Source organism: Homo sapiens, chromosome 8 (assembly GCF_000001405.40).
Source record: "Homo sapiens chromosome 8, GRCh38.p14 Primary Assembly".
Classification (NCBI taxonomy): domain Eukaryota; kingdom Metazoa; phylum Chordata; class Mammalia; order Primates; family Hominidae; genus Homo; species Homo sapiens.
The window spans coordinates 106,611,039-106,632,253 of record NC_000008.11 but is presented as its reverse complement, the minus strand read 5'-3'; the positions used below and the strand labels follow the sequence as shown (position 1 = coordinate 106,632,253).

Below are 21,215 nucleotides of genomic sequence, written 5' to 3'. Positions count from 1 at the left end.
GGTATGTACTTGAAGACACCACTTGAAGGTAATATTTGTTTTCACATTAAGCTTGAAGAACACTATTTTTTTCTCTCTAAACCTTTCATTAAAATCTGAAGGGTAGCTCTATTTGGATCATGTTGTATCTTTCTTCATTTCATATCTAGAAAACTTTCTGTCTTCCTAATCTATATTTAGGTTTAGCGAGCATATTGACATTTTCTCAATGAGTATACACTTTTTGGTCTCCTTGTCTAGGATAAGAACTAAAATATTCCCAGGGCCTCTGATCATATTTCAGTTTCCAAACTAAGTATTTAGTATATTTTTTGTACTATATCTTGATGAGGGATATAGTAGTATATAAGGTGCTGTAATAAATAGCAGACATAGCAATTTTCTCAGAACTTTACTGAAGGGATTTTTTCAGTTGGCAATTAAATCCCTATCTCAGCAATATGTTCTCCAAGTAAATTCACTGAACATCTGTATGACCTTATTAGAATCAAATCTTTCTTAGTAGGCTGATTATGATCCTTTACAACATGATCTAGCTCATTATTGGCATATAGTAACCATTTAATAAATATCTGTGAAGTGAAATAAATACGGTAACAGAATGCAATTAAAACATATTACATGTTCACTTATTGCTCTCACTATAGGCTTACACCATAAAATATTTTACCTTTAACAATTCAATTTGCAACAACTTAAAAATTAAGACCACAAAAACATTTTAATAGGGCTTTTATGGCAGCTAAACAAAAGACTAATAGATAAATGCAAAGTGGGTTGCTTAAACAGTTGAAGGGTGAATATTTCTAAAGGCTTTACATTGCCACCTTAATTTTGTGTTCCATCCATATGCATGTAAAACAACAGGTTAACATCCTCACTTAATGCCATCAAGAACTGCCATAGAATAGTTGTGAGCTTTGAGAAAACCACAGGTGATAATGTAATACTTACGTTTATCTCTATTTATAGATAATACATTTACATTTGTATTTATATTCTATTTATATAGATGTGGAAATTAAGGAAATAAAGGAAGGAACTAGGGTATAAGGAGGATTAGTAATGATCAAACATACACAGGGTTAAGTCAGCTCTTACTCTCATCTAAAAAGCTTCAAGCACTTCCACTCTCCTGGTTCCCTTTTCTGCCTCTCCTCTCTCAACCACTCACATATTGTTGGTCTTTCTTACTTTTCATTATTGAATGAGTATTTGACATGTTTAGTCAATATTTTCTTCTTTTCCAATTATCTTCATGCCCAGTAACTATTCCTCATCTCTTTCCGACCAACCCCCAAAAGTCCCTTACATTTTCTCACTGCACCTTCTGCCCTCAGCTAGCACAGGCAGCAACACAGCATGAAGCAGGGTTTTGGTGCTCATTGTTAAGAGCCACTGAGCCCTAGAACTAGAAGTGTTAGAAACAGAAAGCAAGGAATGTGTTTTTGATAACTCTATACATTAAAAATAATACCCTTAGTAGATATTTAATCAGGTATACAAATCTGGCTAAAAGGTTTTCACTTTTTACTCTATGTTTGGCATGCTGTAAACTCTCTAGTAAATATTCTTCCTTGTACCTTCCTCTTTGCTCATCTGCTATCATGTTACTTTGTGTAAACAACCCGCTTCCCCTTCCAGATAATTTTATCATAGCTTTTACTTCTTGCACGTGCATATGAGTTCTGTTGTGCCTAGTAAGTGAAAAGACAAAGAAACCTTACAGCGACACAATAATAAAACACAAAAATAAAACACAACAACATAGTACGGAATCAAAATACTTAGTTTCTAGTCTTATAATAGATGTATAACTCACTGGCCAAGTGTCTTAGACACGCATGACCTTTACCATTCCTGTGCCCCAGTTTTCTTAGCTGAAAAATGGCGAAGTTAGAGTCCATGTTGTAAGAATCCTTCTCTGTTCAGAGATTGAATGAGTTCAGCCCTATTTACACCTATGTCATTCATCTCTGCAACAACCTTGAGGGGAAGGACAGTAAGTAACATTATCCCCACATTGCAGATAAAGAAACGGAAGCTAAAGGAGATTGTAGGACTTTTCTACTGTTCCACATTTGTCTGGTAGCAGCGCTAGGACCCAAACCCAGGCTTTATTTGCCTTTTATATCTACAGAGAAAGCTAAGCCACAATCTCCCAGAGAAAGCTAAGCCACAATCTCCCTATATAAAGAAGAGACAAAGGGGGTAAATTGGTGAGATTTTAATGTTTGTCTAATAAATGTAAAGGCAGAGGCAGGAGTTTCTCTCTCTTAAGAAAGAGATTGTACTTTATAGATATACTGTATTTAGATCACATTGACTATTATTTTGTTTTACATTATTACTATTTTCTCCCAGAGTACCAAATCTGCTTTGGACCTTATAGTTGTTGAATCTCACTCACAGATGGAGAATCCTACCACACAAGTTTTTTTAAAGAGCAGTTTGTTAAAAATAATGTTTGCGCTCTTCCTTAGCAGAATAATAATGCAGAATGAATATTTATGTGTTTTATTCTATAATTTATGAAATGCCTTTGTGGTGATATTATGTGGGTTCTCTGTATTTAAAGGTATAATGTAAATTATAGAAGTATTTCTGTACTGGTGTTTTTTACATATTATTACATAATAACCAATAGCATACATGCATTAATGAGTTTTTAAATTATGCTACTGAACATGGAAAAATAGAACATGGACAGTGGCAATGACAATGATTTACTTTGTCAGTTATGCCATCTGCTATTTTTACCAAATTCTTCAGGGAACATGGCAGTAGCTAGATGACTAGGACCCTAGACGAGTAGTCAGAAGATCCAAGCCCTATTCATAGAACTTACACTGACTCACTTGGTGACCATGTGCTCATCAGTTGATCTCCTGTAAGTTCTCAGGAGAGAATTTGGGAGTGTTTCCTCATTTGCCAACCTCTCAGAAATGCCATGAATGTAGGTTTTCCTGTGTTTGCAAAATATTGTTAAAAAGGACCATGAGGAAAAAAAAAAACAGACTTGAATAGCAGACTTAACACAAGGTATAACTAATCTTTAAAAAAATTTAAATGTTATTTTACTATCTAAGCACACCTTTTCTCTCCTTCAACTTTGTCTCTTCCTCATCTGGCAAGACAATCTCTCAAGTTTGGAGGGTGGGGGAGAGGAATGAAGTAAAAGAGGGTGATTTTGTCTTTTCTTCATTCTCTCTTACTCTGTTACGCTCTGAAGTCTGTCTTTGCTCTTTCATAATCTAGCTGAGTGTTAGTTGAAGTGTTAGTGCAGTTAAACATTAAATGGAAGCAGAAATGCAGCAGTTGTGAGAAAAGAGAGAGCCCACATACTTTAAAATTATCCTTGGAGTCTGTTTTATTCCTTCAGTTGTTCAACAGATATTGAATGCTGAACATCAAGATGCTAATCCCTGAGGGTACGAAGACAATGGAGACACAGTGCTGCATACGTGAAGTGCCAACAGATCAGAGGCATTAGATATACAGGTCAACCATTACACTTGAAGTATGATGCGTGTGAAGATGGAAGAGGATAGCAGAGAGGGGATGGGACATCTAGAAAGAGTCCAAGAAGTGAGGTATCAGCTAACCTTGGAGGGCAAGGAAAGCAAACCAAAATATTTTTTAGATACTGTAAGTTTTATAGTAATGGTTTTTAAAAAATGAATATTTAATCAAATGGAATTGTACACTAGGAAATGTGCCAAGCAACAGTAAAATCTATAAAAGCATCAATTTTGGAGTTGGAGAGATAAAATTCAACTCCATTTCTATCTATAGGTGTGACCTTGGGAAAGTTGCCTGACCTCTCAAAATCTGTTTCTTCATTTATAAAATGGAGTTTATAAAAGCATTTACATCTCTTGGGGTTGTATGAAGATTAAATGAGAGAATATGTATAAATTCCCTGCCCAGTCTTTGGCACCTGGTAAGATGATAAAGGGTCAATAAATGCTAGCTATTATGAAATATTTCTATATATTTTATCATCGAACCCTTGCAACAATCCAATGGACAGGCATTCCTAATGTCAGCTCTTTGGGAAAAGGACACAGAAAACAGGAGGTTCTAGGAATATAGGTTAGAAACCCTGAAAGACCCACATGTGCCATAATAAGGAGTTTGGACCACATGAAGAAGGCAATAGGAAATCTCCAAAGATTTTTAAAGGAGAGAACCAATGAATTTTACGTTTTAGAAATACTGTTAAGATGGCAGTGTGGATAATGGATTGGAAAGGCAGGGAGAAACCTGAAAGGTAGGAGTCCAGTTAGGAATTCTATGTAGTAAATCTCTCTGTGTAATAGTAAGCATGGGAAATCTGCTAAGTGCAATCATACAGACCTGCAGAAGGGATAGCTGGTGGATCCCCTGTGCCCTCAATCTCCACTTATTCCTATATCAATCCTGCTATGGTAAAGGCTTTAGGACTCACTGCCAAAATGCTTAATGCTTTCCACTATGAATCCCACCAGTAATGGTGGTCTCTTTATTGCTAAGTGGCATGAGGTTTTAATCATCTCCGAAAAAAGAGTAGGTAAGCTTCCTGCTGGAAATGAAAGAACTAAATGTCAGTATAATTGCTTCTTGGCTGCGGGGAAGAAGTAGAAAGATTCCCTAAAAACATTTGGGTAGTTCGGTAGCTTAATTTTTTTTGTCATCTTCATATGTTGATGATGTCATCATCATTAAGCCACTACATTGATTCAAGGGTAAATCAGACATAATAGAATTGATGTAAAACACAAATATAGAATATCTCACGTTACCACTTTTTAACCATCAGATGGCTATCATTTCATCTTTTTTTCTTTCAAAAAGTTGATTTTCCTTATCTCAACAGCATTTAGTATTTCCACTGTAAAACACCAGTCCTTTTCCACTATTTTTGTGGGAGAGTCTCCATATTAAAATGCATACATTTAAAAAGTAATGAATGCAAGGGAAGTTTAAGACATGTCGAAGGCTACTCTTCTCTCAAAACACCAGAAACTAAATAATTTGGAAGGAATGTTCTCTTATGTAACAACATCTGAATATATACCATGAGGAATCTGTGAGAAACCAAGTTTTCTTTTGAAATATCACTATTCTATCCTGAATTCTTCCCTTTACGGATGTGCTTCCAATCCAATTTTGCTTAATAGAATGTACTTTTTTTTGCCTTGGTTTTAGTTGTTTGCATAACATGTGCATGTACTTTGAGATACAGGTTGTTGTAGACACGAGAGGTTAACTACGGAGAAAAGCATCGAAACATAATAGAGGAAATGTATCCAAGCATTTCATATTTTTCAGGACTCGAATATTTTAAATAATATAAGAAAAAATATATCCTAGTGCTTTACAAAAGTTATTGAGCACATTAAAATCATGATGCATTTAAAATATGATAATTATAATATATATTTAAAAATTAATTTGAAATATTTATCACAACGCTAGTGAATAATAACCACAAAATTTTTTCCTCAAGTTTAAGATCTGGTAATAGTGATTTGTAAAAAATTATTACAGGGATCTACAATGTTAAATCAGGAAAGCAGCTTTGAGACTTGGCAGAAAAGTGAAATAATTTTTTTAAAGATATTATTAAACACATACCTCAAGCTTAATAAATGTGTAAGTGTTAAAAAAAAAAAAAACCTAAGAAAATGAGCTACTTTTAAGGTAAAAAAAAATTTACAACATGGATTTAATAATTCAGACAGAGAAGGTGTTAATAAACCAGAAAACCAAAGCAAAAATAATTACATTAATGTAAAAATATGAAAAGGACTGAATGAAAAGGGAAAAGACACCAAACTTCAATCAAGGCCATGCCATACAGAGAATGACATGTGTAGAAATACAACTAAAATTATAAAAACAATAAGCAAGAAACAGGAAAGACTTTTTTTTTTTAGAAAATGAATTTTAAAGATAACCTTCATCTTATCATCTGCATAGGGTGAAACGGCTTTTTAGTTAATAGTTGAGTCAGTAAATAATATACTTCTATATAATATCTTTTTAAAAATTTTTTTTACAAGGAAAAACAGGATTAGCTATCTTTTGCCTCTAAAAAGTAGGCTTGATAGCTTCAACACTGGAATATTTTTAATGTATCTAGATTGTTTTTTCAACTTAAGAAAATTGTCTTTTTTCTTGTAAGAACTTATGCTATAAGACACACACACACACACACACACACAAAACGCAGAACAGAGCACAATAGTACTTCTTGATAGAAAATATTTTTTAATTCTAAAAATTATACATTAGTATTTGAAAAGATATAAAATTAAAAGCAATTTTAAGCATATAGAGAAAAAAATATGTATTAAATATAACTGAAATTCCTAAAAAGACATATATAATCTAATATACGTTTACAATAAAGTAAATATATGAAAAATAGAAGAAAAGTAACTATAGCTCACTTCTTTGAATTTTTAAGTGCTATCACATGTGAGGTCATTTCAACAAGATTGGGAAACATTATTGATTATACAATGCAGACACACCTTAGTGACTAAGATGGCTAAGCGAGGAGACCTAAACTATCATTACCCTAGTTCAGATTGTCAACATATCTCACCAGGCCTAAGCTGTCCTGCTCTCCTCAAATACATGTTTCAGAGAGAATTACTTAAAACTTAAATCTGACAGTGACCAACACATGATTTATAAACTAGCCACCCAGCAGAATAAAAAATGTGGCTAAACAGAGAATGTAGATTCTTGCTCTACACACATGTGCTATTAGAACAAACCAAGGTTGCCTGTTTTTCATTCATTGCAGCAATTCTTTTTGTTTTCCTGTTTTGAGCAATAATGAGCCCTTAGTTATACCAAAGTCACAAATCCATTTTCTATCCAAGCTAAAAGGCAGTTTTGACTTTCTGAAAGGGGGTGGTCTCACTTTGTTGTCCAGGCTGGTCTCAAGTAATTCTCTTGCCTCAGCAAGCTGGGATTACAGGTACACACGACTGCTCCCAGCTTGAAAATTTTGATTTAGCCTAGCAAGTCAAAATGGGTGTCAAGCATAGCATGTCAAAACATGTGGGGTATGGGGAGGGAAGGGGAGTTGACCTTTTTATGGAATTCATGTAACCTTTTGGTATCATAATTTCCTTATCCACAAAACAGAAATAACATTAGGCTTGGCCAGGTGCAGTGGCTCATGCCTGTAATTCTAGCGCTTTGGGAGGCCAACGTGGGAGGATTGCTTGAGCCCAGGAATTCGATACCATCTTGGGCAATGTGATGAAACCCCATCTCTACAAAAAATAGAAAAATTAGCCGGGCATAGTGGCACATGCCTGAAGTCCCAGCTCCTTAGTGTGTTGAGGTGGGAGGATCACTTGAGCTCAGGGAGGTCAAGGCTGCAGTGAGCCATGATTGCATCACTGTACTCCAGCCCGGCAACAGAGTGAGATCCTGTCTCAGAAACAAAACCAAAAACAAACATCAGGTCTGCAAACTTCAAAGTGATGTTATGAAATGTTAAATAAAATGCGAATGTATGTCAAAGGTTTTTTACAGTGCAGAGCAATGTGAAGTTATTTTCTACAATAAATAATGGTAGATTTACAATTGGGACACACCTGAAAAACAGCAATTCCAGTGCTTGTAGATGTAAACGAAGGTCAGTTTGAGTGTATACCCAGCCCTCAGCTATCTCTGAGACCTCATTTTTGTACCCCTACCACTCTGTCCCATCTTACTGGTATTTGTTCTGTTCCTTGAACAAAGCAAATTAATTTCTACCACCTGGCTTTTCTCTCTACCTGGTTAGCTATTCTTCCCGATCCTTGTTTTTCTGCTTTCTTCTCACAATTTGGGTTTCAATTCTAATGACACCTTCTCAGAGATGCCCCCATCGTTAGCCAGGCTAATTGCACCACTGCCCTACCCTACTCCAGTCTCATTACTCTATTATTTTCTTCTTAACATTTGTTATCTAAATATCTTACTCCTTCTTTACTTCCTTATTTGGAATGGCCACCATACAAGGGCACTATGCCCTTTTATCAAAGGACCTGAGTGACCCAGCAGTCTGTCACTAAGCTAGACCATACTGCCAATGGTTTCAATGAAAGTAAGTTCAGAGTGACCTTGTCAAATCAGGGAAATAATTGGTCGAAAACCTGACTTTCCAGAGAAACAAGGGTGGAGAGGAAAGAAAACACACATGTGAATGAAAACACTAAACAGACACAGGATAACACAGGATAGTGTGTGTGTATGTGTGCTGTAGGAAGCTGAAGCTGGCTTAATGTGTTAGCAAAAATAACAATTTGGAAAACAGAATTTCTTGTTCTGGTTTGTCAGAAGGAATAGATTGAGGTAGTCTGGGGAAATGAACTGGACAATTTTCTCACATGATGCATTTGGATAAGTAATGATACCCTTTTACAAGTTAAATTCAACACAGCCTTTCAATAACTGATTTTCCTGTAATTTCTATTCTACGGCATATAAAATGTTATTTAAAAACCTTCTCTCATACTAAGTCCCATCCTCTATAGCAAAATAGTGAGGTAAGTCACATTTCTCTTTGGTACTCTCCCACCTCCTCTTTCAGAAACTGTTTCTTCAGTCTCCAGTTCTTCAATCCCTTTCCACCACTACTATTCACCTGCCCCACAACTTACTCTACCAGGCCCCACTTTCAGCTGTCACAAGACTTCTGTTTGATGTTTTTTCTTCTGAATTCCAATTTAGAGTTTGTCTGAGTATGTGTCTGTCTCTCTCATTAGACTCCATGTAACAAATATGTCCTCAGAGTGCCGACTTATTACAGAATATAATAGGCATTCAATGCATGTTTTCATTTCATACTTTTCCCTAGTGTTTTTTTTTTACTATTGTGTAAGTTAACATTATTATTACTATTTTAATGTCCACAGGGGTGGGATTAGGGTTGCTTTTAAAAAATATACATATATTTTCTATTTTTAAAAGGTCTCATACTTTTTTTTACAAAAAGAAATTAAAGAGGAATGAGAAAAAGGAGCTTTACTATATCTGACTATGTTGTCAGTAGCAGATGACACAATTTTTCCATTTAACTGGATGGAACCCATATTGAAGAAAATCTCAGGGAATAGAGGAATCTATAGGTAGCTCTCTTCTTCTAATTAATCTACTCAGTCAGTGATCTGAACATATATTTTGGAGCCAGGGTCTTGGGTTTGAATCTTAGCTCTGACGCTTGCTTAGCTTGTTTGACTTTGAATAAGTTTCTTAATTTTTCTGTCCTTAACTTCCTCATCTGTAAAATGGGGGTAATAATTGTACCTATTGAGGGTACAGGGTTAACTGAGGATATATTCAACAAATAATGTTTGAAGACATTCTACGTATTAGGCCCTGCTCTTGGTACAAGGGCTAGAATATGGAGGGAAAAAGACAAAAATTCATTTTTTATAATGTTTGTATTCCAATAAGGTAGATAAATATGTGTTAGTGTAAGGAGAAAAAGAAAAAAAGCAGAGAAGAGTGTATGTGAACTGTTGATGGGCAGGGGATTTGAAATTTTAGGTACAGTGGCCAGGGAAGGTCTCACTGAAAAGACAATTTTATAAGAACCCGAAGAAAGTGAGGAAGTTGGCTATGTGGATCTCTAGGAGGAGAGCCTTCAAGGTAGAGGGCACACAAATTGCAAAGGCCTTGAGAAAGAAGCAGGCATGGTGTGTTCAAGGAATAGCAAAGAGACTAGTGAAGTCGGAGTGGAGTAATGGCGGGGGAATTATATGAAGTAAGGGGTGTGTGTGTGTGTGTGTGTGTGTGTGTGTGTGCTGGGGGTGATCAGTTAGGGCCCTGTGGGCCATGATTAGGACTTTGGGTTTGGACAAAGGAGCGATACAATGAGATTCATGTTTGAACCACATTCCTCCCAGTTGCCTCACTGAAAACTGACTGGGGTGGGGATTGGGGAGCAAAAGCAGAGACAGGAGGCCGGTTGGGAGTCTCTTGCACAGTGCAGTCAAAAGATGATGGTGTTTGGACCGAGGAGGAAGCAGTGCAAGTGGTAAGGACTGGACAGATTCTGGGTTTATTCTGAGAAGAGAGCCAACAGGATCTCTGGGCTGATTAGATGCAGGGTCAGTAAGAAAGAGAAGGCCTAGAATTACACCAATGTTTCTGGCCTGAATAGCTAGAGAAATGATGCTTCCATTAATGGAAATAAGAATATAGTTTAATATATGAATAATATATTATCATGCCAAAATGTGTTAACATGTTAATGAATTGGTGAATTAAAAGCACTAAGTATAGCAGTTAACATCAAGTGGGTCTGATGTGTTTGTTGTTATTAATAATACATTGAAATGGGAACATTTTTTAAACCCCAGTATATGACTAAATGTTCATGTCAGAGTCACAACTTGTGGTCTTTGGAAATAAAGTGATTTAGACTTTCCACTGACAGATGTAGTATAGTAGAAAAATATAATTTTCAAGTAATGACTAAGAATTCCCTCTCCTTCAATTCCCCTTTTAACCTGCACATGCCTTTAATATGGCACTTCCTTCTTTTCTTTATTCTTGCCTTTTCAAAGTATCCCTATCCTCAAAAGTAACACATATACTAAATATATTAACTTTTAATGGATAATCTTGTGTTTTATAGTTACTATTGCAATGGAATTTCTATTCAACAGTACTATTTCAAGTGCCATTGAAGTATCCTGTCTTTTAAAGATGCAAAAATAACAAGTTTTTTTTTTTTTTACTCTTATTGAATGTTTTTGAAACTGTGAAAACCAATACAATTCATTTTTGTTTTTGTTTTTTTTAGAGACAGCATCTCACTCTGTTGCCCAGGCTGGAGTGAATTGGTGCCGTCATAGCTCATTGCAGCCTGGAACTCCCGGACTCAAGCAATCCTCTCACCTCAGTCTTCTAAGTAGCTAGGACTACAGGCATGCACAACCACGCCCAGTTAGTTTTGAATTTTTTGTAGAGACAGGGGTCTCACTTTTAAATGGAAAGAATCAAGGCAGGAAAGGAAGTGGGGAATCTAAGTAATCTCTTTTATTTTTAATACCACAGAGATACTGTGGGTTGTGGCTTGCTAATTCAATAAAGGATACAAGCTCTCAGAGATTGGCATGCATTCAGCACTGGAGTTCAGAACAGACAGGACTCTGATATGCAAGAAATAATCTGAAGATAGATTTCACGGTTCTCCTCTAAATTCAGAAAGCTAGTTAATGGGTCGTATCATCATTTCCAATGATAATTTAAAACTTTCTAATTTGGAATGAATTATTTAATTTTTCCTTCTTTCCTTTCCCTAACTTTCTACTCACACATTTCTAATAATGTTTCATTTAATGTTGATCCTTATGGTTTATAATTTAACAGTACTTCATGGCTTAAAAAGTACTGTCATACACATTTCATTTTCACTATTTTTACTGGTACAATATTTTTTACTAATTGTCTTAATTTATAGATAAAGAAATTATTTGTATTATTTCCTTCTTTAGATGTGTAATTTGAAGCTCTGGGAATAATTATCAGATTGCTAAATACACATAGCTTTTAATGAGCAGAAACATAACTTGAATGTGGGTCTTCAGTTTTAAAAACTTGTTCCCTGTCCATTTCATTACAGTTGAATATTGGTAATTACTAATAAAATTCTCTGAGTATTTTCCAGGGAGTTCAGTCAAGACAGTGGCCTAAGAACAGTTAGAACCACAGTGCCAGGAAGCCAGAGTGGAAGAATGTAGTGAGGAGAGACAAAAATTGGCCACAGATAAGCCACGTAAGGAAAAAAGAAGACTTTATGAAGTTCCAAATATATGGCCTTTAACATATTATACAAGTCACAAACTTAGGTATATATTTTCACTGCTGCATTTCATCAATCTAAGATACCACTGATTGTGAGACGCATGACCAAGAAAGAAAGATTGAAAAAAAAACTGTCAATTAAATCACAATACAGCTTGATCACAAGGTGATTTTAGATTTTAAAAAGTTAAAATTTGAAAAAAATGTACATCTTAGAATCAAAGAAATATAGTACTAGTAACTGCAGAGGGTATGAAAAGTCTCAAAATCAGTTATAATACAATCTCACTAGACAATCGATAAGCACTTATTAAGTGCCTATGGATGGGTACAATGAAGCAAAATGCATAATCTAGATGAAGAGGTTTAAGTGCTATATATGAAATATTCATTGCTATCCTTCAGTTTCACAACAATGACCACTGCTGAAGACAGCAGATCCACTTGTAGATGTCTCAGTGTAAAAGTGCCAAGAGGATATAAGGCATAGGAGGGAGGAGGAGAGAGAGGAATACAGAGGCAGAAGCAGCAAGGGGAAAGGAGAATGGGCTGGGGAGGGGTAAGAAGGATGGGAAGAGGGATCTAATTGAACCAGGAGTTTCATTGAAATTCAAAAGTGGTCTGAATCCTGCTCACGCCAAATCTCCTGATCTTATTAAATATAAATGCTGTCCTGTATATGAAATGATACCTTAAAACATCAGCTTTGAAAAGGGGTTCATACATTTTTATAGCGTTGACAGCTCCATGTTTAATACTAAAAATTTTTATCCTTTCTTGTGTATTTTTTTATTACAAAGGCAATTTTAGTACCTCTCAAATTTGAACTAGATATAATTGATTAAATATTTGGCATTGCTTAAAAATTAAATTTTGTTATGACTGGTTATCAACCTCCCCAATGACTTAAAAGTTTTAGAATTTGTGATTAAAATTAAAAAATTGTTTGGGCTCAAAACCAATCACCTAAACATTTCACTTGATAATTTTGTATAAATTATGATTATCATCACAGTATCTGTGTGCTGAACTGGAAAAATGAAATTAGATTATTTCTAATTAAAAACACTTTTGTTTCAGCAATGAGAATTTCATAAATAAATTGTCTTATGATATGAAATAATTGCTTTTGAAATTACCCAGATAAAAAGAAAAGATAGTCAACCTCTTAGCTGTGCATTATGCTCATAAATTTATTACTAACTTAAAAAGGGATAATGTCCTGCAACATCATTAAGCCTCATGTCTAAATAAGTGGTAAAGTATATTATACATTCTGATACTGTCACACAGTTGCTTGTGATTGAGGAAAAACTAACCTAGTAATGGTAATTACTTCTTTTGAAAGGCAAAACTATAAATAAATAATAATGCAGAGCAATTTCATTTTTTAAAGTCAATAATGAATTCCATCTGCTGCATGCCATTAAAAATCAAAGAGGTTACTTACACGCCTCAGTTCTTTTTATATCTTTATTCCTTCCATTTAAAAGTACAGGTCGATCTGTTTAATGATAATGTTATTTTGGCTTGTTTGACCAAAACTTCAACCAAAAAAAAGAAAAAAGGCAAAAAAAAAAATCCTCCTATTTCTTGCCTCGTTTTTCTGGAGCCTAGAGAATGTAACGTAATAAAACGCTAATGAAGAACAGAGACATTTAAACAAATGTTTAAGGGGATGGTTTGGAGAGTCTTAATGAAATGAATTACAAGTCTTTGAAACCCAGAATACAGTGGTGACAAAAGTGAGAGCATGTGACTTGATCACTGCCATTACCCGAGTTAGGGACAATTTTTGAGTGAAGAATAAGGTAAGGCAACATGGAAATCTTACTGACAAATGTTGTCCTATGAATGAATAAAAAATAAATCGCTAAGGACTTGTTACAAATGGCCACTGGACATGAAGAGACTCAAAATCATTATGTCTGAATCTATTTCTGGGAGTACTTATGGAATCATAATTAGCAGCAGTATCTACAGCAAATCATAGAGAAATAATTTACACACATGTAAAGTCTTTTTAGAAAGATATTCTATTTAGATTCAGTGTTCTGACACAGTTTAATCCCTCCTAACCTCCCCAGCCAAACATTTGCATTTTGGAGGCAGTAGCTATAGAACCTCCAACTGCATCGTCACAGATCCATACAGCTCATCTGGACTTTGAAAATGCAACATAAAGTGTGCCCTTTAATGTCCGCTGTATCTGACTTTCCAAAATAACTTATTTAAAGCCACTAAGAGAGCACTTACACATACCTTTGCGCTGGCAGAACATTTCTGAGGTCCTTCCTTCGAACCTTGCTCAGCTAGCAGTGAGCTGCTTTCAAGAAGAGGAGACAGGAATTTTGATTCCTGTGCTTCTCAGGGTAATATAACATTTCCTTTCTGCCAGAGTGCCTTCTCCTCCCGCCCGGTCCCTGACCCCTGGTGGCAGTGTGCAAGATTCAGAGGTTTCTGTTTCTGCACACAGGAAACTCACTGTACCTGCCCTGTGACTGTGGACTTGCTCTTGGCTCACTGAACATTTTAGAAACGGTGACGACGACATGCTCTGTATGATACGTTACTAAGTTGATACTGTAAAGTCTATCATGGAGTGAGATCACAAGACTCAATATCTAGCCTCTGTACAATTTCTTATCATAAAGTAAATAAATGGCATGGCCACCTTTAACAAATCTCTATTTTATAGTCCTAATAGCAACAACAGGTAGCAGATTTGATAAGCTGAGTATGAACCAGGCTGGTGTTCTGTACCTTTATAGATATGTAAATACTGCTAGCCATTGTCAGAACATAATTTTGATGTTTTGCATCCAGAACTTCCAATTGCATCATAATGGATATAGTTCACACTGCTTTGCATTATAGTTATTTATTTTAGTCTTTTTTCCCTAGGAGGGAAAGAAGAAAGTCCACACAACAGCACTAACTGCTTAGTAATTAAAAGAATGGATAAAAGTAGTAATAACTTCCTTCTTTGTACTTAGCACCCACCCCCCTTTTTTTTTGAGATGGAGCCTTGCTCTGTCACCCAGGCTGGAGTACAGTGGCGCCATCTTCATCTCAGCTCACTGCAACCTCTGCCTCCCAGGTTGAAGCCATTCTCCTGCCTCAGCCTCCTGAGGAGCTGGGTCTACAGGCACACGCCATCATGCCCGGCTAATTTTTGTATTTTTAGTAGAGATGGGGTTTCATTATGTTGTCAGTGCTGGTCTTGAACTCCCGACCTCAGGTGGTCCACTCGCCTTGGCCTCCCAAAATGCTGGAATTACAGGCATGAGCCCTTAGCCCCCTTTTAATCCACATTCCCTGTTATCCCGGTAGAAGTAAAGGGCAGCACCTATAGCCCGGCTGCTTCTGACTTACTGTTTATGTCCTTAAACTTTAGAATCCTGGAGAGGATTGTGGTGGAAAACTGCCTTTCCTTCTTCCCTGTCATCACATTTTTATGAGACCCTTCAACAGCAACTCACTGAGATATATACATACTGTAACATCATATTTTATTTGAGGGCAGAGATCACAACCATTGAGAACAGACAATGTCAAGTCAGTGGGTGAAGATCTTCATGAGTCTAAGAACTAATGGATGCCCAAACAGGTGGGCTTCAGGGGTAAATTTAAAAGATAAACAAATTGTCAAAAACCACGTGCAGAGTTAGTACAAGGTGATGAAGTGACAATGATCACGAAGAAAATGGAGTTCATGGTGCCACCAGTTCACAACGCTGAAGTTGTATAAATAGTAATAATACTAAGATTTTGCATGTAATATAGAGCTTATGGTCTTGGCCAAGTTCTGACAACTCCATAATAACTGGTCATTGACTAGTAAAGTACATGACCAAGCCAATAAGCTTTTGCAGGAAAATGATATAAATTGGCAAGATGATTCATTCTCAAATGAAAATTCATGATGTCTAATCTTCTCTATGGAGCTACATTTGTATTCAATACAAACTCTATTTGGTTCCTTTAAGAGTTCCAGTATTTCCTATGAATGCTGTTCAATACATGAGGTAACTTATGTAAAACTTCTAGTTAAGCTCCTGGTACTCTGCTATAAGAAGGTGTTTGGCTGGGCGCGGTGGCTCACACCTGTAATCCCAGCACTTTGGGAGGCTGAGGTGGGCGGATCATGAGGTCAGGAGATCGAGACCATCCTGGCTAAGATGATGAAACCCTGTCTCTACAAAAAAAAAAAAAAAAAAAAAAAAATTCCAAAAAATTAGCCAGGCATGGTGGCGGGCACCTGTAGTCCCAGCTACTCAGGAGGCTGAGTCAGGAGAATGGCGTGAACCTGGGAGGCGGAGCTTGCAGTGAGCTGAGATCGCACCATTGCCACTGCCCTCCAGCCTGGGAGACAGAGCAAGACTCCGTCTCAAAAAAAAAAAAAAAAAAAAAAAGAAGGTGTTTCATTGGATATTAATTTCCATTCTCTTCCTTAGTGACATGAATGGCTTATTCCAGTCCTGGATTCCATTCTACTACATTAAAGTAATGCCAATGATAACAATGACTTACTATGTGTAATGTTTTATCGTTTACAAAGTGCTTCAACGAATATTCTCATGTTATGCACACAACCACCCTGGGAGATGTTGCTTATTCTCCAAGATTTGCCAAGCACGCTATGTATAGAAAATTAATGACACAATGTTTCCTTGCAGCTTTATAAGGTGAGCATAAGGAGAGAACAGAAATGTTTTGAAGATGCCTTGATGTTCCTGTTCAAATCATTCAGCATAGCTGCAGACTTCTGGAAAACAACAGCAGCAGGTAGAAAGCAAGAATGAATTGGCATTTTTTTCCTTTTTTTTTTTTTTTTTGAGACAGATTCTGTCTCTGTTGCCAAGAGTGGAGTGCAGCAGTCTGATCTCGGCTTACTGCAACTTCTGCCTCCTGGGCTCAAGCCATCCTCCCACCTCAGCCTCCGGACTTACTGGAGCTGTGGGGCTTTAAGTGCTTGCCACCATCCCGGCCATCTTTTTTTCTTTTTTTTTTTGAGACGGAGTCTTACTCTGTTGCCCAGGCTGGAGTGCAGTGGCGCAATCTTGGCTCACTGCAACATCTACCTCCTGAGTTCATGTGATTCTCCTGCCTCAGCCTCCTGAGTAGCTGGGACTACAGGCATGTGCCACCAGGCCTGGCTGAATTTTTTGTATTTTTAGTAGAGACAGGGTTTCACCATGTCGGTCAGGCTGGTTTCAAAGTCCTGACCTCAAGTGATCTACCTGCCTCGGCCTCCCAAAGTGTTGGGATTACAGGCACGAGCCACCGCGCCTGGCCTATTTTTCTCCATGTTGCCCAGGCTAGTCTCAAACTCTTGAGCTCAAGTGATCCACCAGCCTTGGCCTCCCAAAGTGCTAGGATGACAGGCATAAGCCATCATGCCCAGCCAAATTTTTAAAGCAAGACTTCATGTAACAATAAAACTCATACACACAGAAGCAGCACCCCAAACAAAACATAAATACATGTGGTTTTTAGCATCTGCGGAATATGCAAAGGAGGGCTTTTACAATATTTACATCTCAAATAGATGGTATAGTAATACTATCTACATTTGCATTGTGTCTGAATATGAATGAGAGAGTTATAAAACCATACACACACACACTGCCATATCAAACACACCTATGAATTGGTCATATGACAGTATGTATATAAGTAAATATATCTATTTATCTATATGTCATATCTATAAGATACCTATTTCCCAATATTTGGCCATTTGTTCTTTATTCTTTGCTCTCATTGGGAATCTGATAGGAGCTAGACTCAAGTCACTGGTCAGTTAAGTTTACTTCTTTCAAGGTTTTGTAAAACGAAATCAATCTTATAATTGTGCTTAGAGCTGTCCACTAGGTATACAATCATCATTTCTGACAAATATTGGCTATCTACCACTTTTGGGATGTGGGCTGCTAAGAAGCTCTGATTTACGGCAGTCAAAAATGCTCTTGCTTCTACATCTCTAGTTTTTATTCTAGATTCTTTTTCTAGTTTAGTTATTTATTTTACTGTAAGTTGGTTCTTTATATCCTAGCGGACTTATCTACTTTCCTTATATCTGTTGTCACACCATGTAGATTGACCAAGTTGTGATAAAGTGACTTAAATGTCTAGGTTTATTGATTTATTTTTATGGGATTGAAAAATGTGCTTGAGAATATAATTAGAACTTGATCAAACTGAACCTTTTTTAAGACGGTGAAAATAATAGACCTTTTACAAAAGAAAAACATATGGTAAAAACAAGCCTTTCCAAGACTTGGGTAATTTTGAAATCATGTAGTTTTCCTAATTATAGATGTGAATTGTTGGCAGGTAGGATTATAAAAGCACTTTTGCTAATATCACATTGCAATGCTGAGGGTATAGTCTTAGCCTGAGATGTGAATTTCACTTGTAGTGTGTACACATTTCTCAAAATGCACTCTGCAGAACACCAAAATGAACACTTTCACCCCGAGAAGTGCCAGATGGGGAAACAAATGCAGTCGAGATGCCAAGCCATATAAATGGTGTCAGTTCTAAAACAAGGCTTTCCAGGGGATGGCTGCAAGGGAAAGAATTCCAGAGAAAACATCTAGTTTTTCTGTGAGAAAGGTTACTTACTAAGTAGTTAACTCATTTTCAGGGGAAGAGAGTAGGTGTTTAAGAGTAATTCTTAGGAGAAATTTTGAACTACTTACACTGACAGTTATGGTTGGCTGATATGTATAGGACATAACAGGCTGGGCTCAGTGGCTCACGCCTGTAATCCCAGAACTTTGGGAGGCCAAGGTGGGCAGATCACCTGAGGTCAGGAGTTCGAGACCAGCCTGTCCAACATGGTGAAACTCTGTCTCTACTAAAAATACAAAAATTAGCTGGGTATTGTGGCACATGCCTGTATTTCCAGCTACTTGGGAGAATGAGGTAGGAGACTTGCTTGAGCCTGGGAGGCAGAGGTTCCAGTGAGCCGAGATCGTGCCATTGCACTCCAGGCTGGGCAACAAGAGCGAAACTCTGACTCAAAAAGAAGGACATATCAAGTATGTTAGGTTTTGTGGAAATTAAATACATCACAAAATTCCCATAAGTTTAGGTTGCATAAAAGAGCCTTCACTAAACCAGATCAGGTAGCATGCAATGAAAATTAAAGTTTAATGAGCAACTATACGTTTGAGAGCAGCCTACGCTAAGCACTCGGGTTACTGGCGATTCAGCCATCTGATCCAAACAGCCCTTTTCATTTCCTCCTCTTTCCCTCTGTGTGAACATATTTTCTTCTGCTTGAAGGGAAATAGCCAAAGTTCTGTTTTCCCTAGGGAAAAATGTCTCATATTAGGTAAGAAGCATGTTTTCCATTCTGTTCTTCCCTCCTGTTATATTTCTCAGCAATCTGCATAAGTAGTCAACTTGCCTCCTGTTTTCCCTGAGCTGCACTGACTAACGCTTGCCTGAAAGCACGTGTTGCAGAGTGATGAGCAGTTATGATTCTGAAGATAGTTGACCAGGGTTCAAATCTCAGTTCCTTCACTTTCTAGCCTTGAGGTGTAGGGCCAATTACTTAACCCACCTGCCTCTCAGTTTCATCACCTGTAAAACTAGAATCTTAGTATTCGTAGGGCTGTGTGAGAATTAAAGTATTTAATACATGTAAGATACTTAGAATAGTACTTGGAATGTAATAAATACTCAATAAATGCTTTAAAATTTTCAAGAAGTGAGAGCCATAAAAGTGTATGTAGGTACTTCACATTTTGCCTGCTCTGTCAAAATAAACAATGTTAATACAGTCCTAAACATATAGAAATGCATTATGATGAACTCCTGAAAACAAAGATTTTCTTAACTATCTGACTTAGAAAATACAAAATTGTCATAAGAGATGCAGAAAGGAAATGAATTAAAGAAAAAATTCTCAGATCATAATAAGAAATGAGTTTTGAGCTTGAATTTCAAGCTTCTATAAAAAGTCATCTGAAGAAAATGAATGATACATATGTAACAAGTTATATATGAAGGTTATTATACCCCCCCAAAATTATATAAAGTTATTGTTTAGGTACTTACATCAATCATGCTTTGGAGACTGCTTAACAGTGTATATGTTTACCTTATACAGTTTCACTGGACTTAACCTATATGCCTTATATATACTATTTCATTTCCATATTATTTTCTTCTCCAGTTTCCTTTCTATCTTATATATGTATTTACATTTCTTTCACACAAATTTTAAAAAGTATTCCTATCAGAATAATATTTTTTTCTACAAAAGGTAGACAATCTTTAAGGTATGAACATGAGAAAAGGGAAAAAGCAAAGCTCAAATACAAAAAAAAACTGAAGGAGAAAATTATGAAATGAGTAGAGACTGATTAACAAGAAAAGAAAATGCAAAGCTATCCTTTTGGAAATAATTCAAGCTCTCTCAGTCATACAGAATTAATCCTGGAAATAAGGCAGTTCTCACGAAAAACAGAATGACCTATTTTTTTTTTGTTTTTATGTGTTTTTACCATACAAAGGTATAGAAATTAAAAGTATGCTACATTTGGTCTATTTAGGCCACTGTGCCGAAAACTGATGTAAAAACTGAATTCATTATTTTATTTTTTTAAACAATATGTTATACTTCCTTACAAAAGTCACTGCTGTTTACAGGCAACAGGACTCTCCATCCCCACCTAATGCTGGCAAAGAATAAAGATGTTCTAAGTTAATTTTGGAACAGTTAGGAATGAATGGGGGTGGGAAAGGGCAGAGGGGAGAGATTAGATGCCAAGACACTCTGACAAGCGCTGCCAATTTGCGTGGGACAAACACTTTGATCTACTTACTTCTACCTTTCTGACATCACCCTTCTGGTTCTCCAGGGTCTATCCAATTCTCAATCTTTAACCCTTAGGGAAATAACTTTTTACTAGGGATGCTCTCTTTCGATCACCCTTGACCTCCATACAAAATGCAGCCCAGTTTGTGTTCTCCATTCACTCACAAAGTTATTTGGACAAATGAAATGCGTACAGAGTTAAACTGAACCTGACAAAGCACATTCACTGCTCAACACTCCAGGTTCTGGCCTTCAGGACTCCTTTCCACCAACACATCTTGCTCACTGAGTTGAACACAGACAGGCCTCTTTTCTGGTCCTTGAATGCACCAAGCATGCTCCTATCTTAAAGCCTTTGCACTTGCAGTTTCTCTTTTCTTAGAATGCTCTTCCCCAGACATTGGCCAGCCCTTGCTCTGCCATTCTATTTAGGTCCCAACTTACATACCTCCTCTTTAGAGGGGTGTTCTCTGACTACTGTATCTAGGTCAGCACCCTGTACAAGTTTCTTCTTCGTACCACTTATCACTAACTGATACTACCCATCTCATTGTTTGTGATTAGTCACCTC

General features: G+C 36.7%; 1 protein-coding gene and 1 long non-coding RNA gene across 11 annotated transcripts in view; one reads left to right on the top strand and one right to left on the bottom strand.

Moving 5' to 3' along the window:
* Positions 1-21,215, bottom strand: part of OXR1 (oxidation resistance 1) — a 482,517-nt gene that overhangs the window by 120,441 nt on the left and 340,861 nt on the right. For 2 of the 9 annotated variants that reach the window (XM_017013590.2, XM_047421918.1), the window contains exon 1: positions 14,071-14,158. The exons of the other annotated variants lie outside the window; for them this stretch is intronic. In XM_017013590.2, the coding sequence (XP_016869079.1) occupies positions 14,071-14,089 (19 nt within the window). In that variant the 5' untranslated portion in view covers positions 14,090-14,158. Of the gene's footprint in view, positions 1-14,070; positions 14,159-21,215 lie in introns of those variants that run through there. 9 annotated transcript variants of the gene reach the window in all.
* OXR1-AS1 (OXR1 antisense RNA 1) overlaps positions 1-21,215 on the top strand; it is a 140,687-nt gene that overhangs the window by 25,467 nt on the left and 94,005 nt on the right. The gene's annotated exons all lie outside the window — the stretch shown is intronic.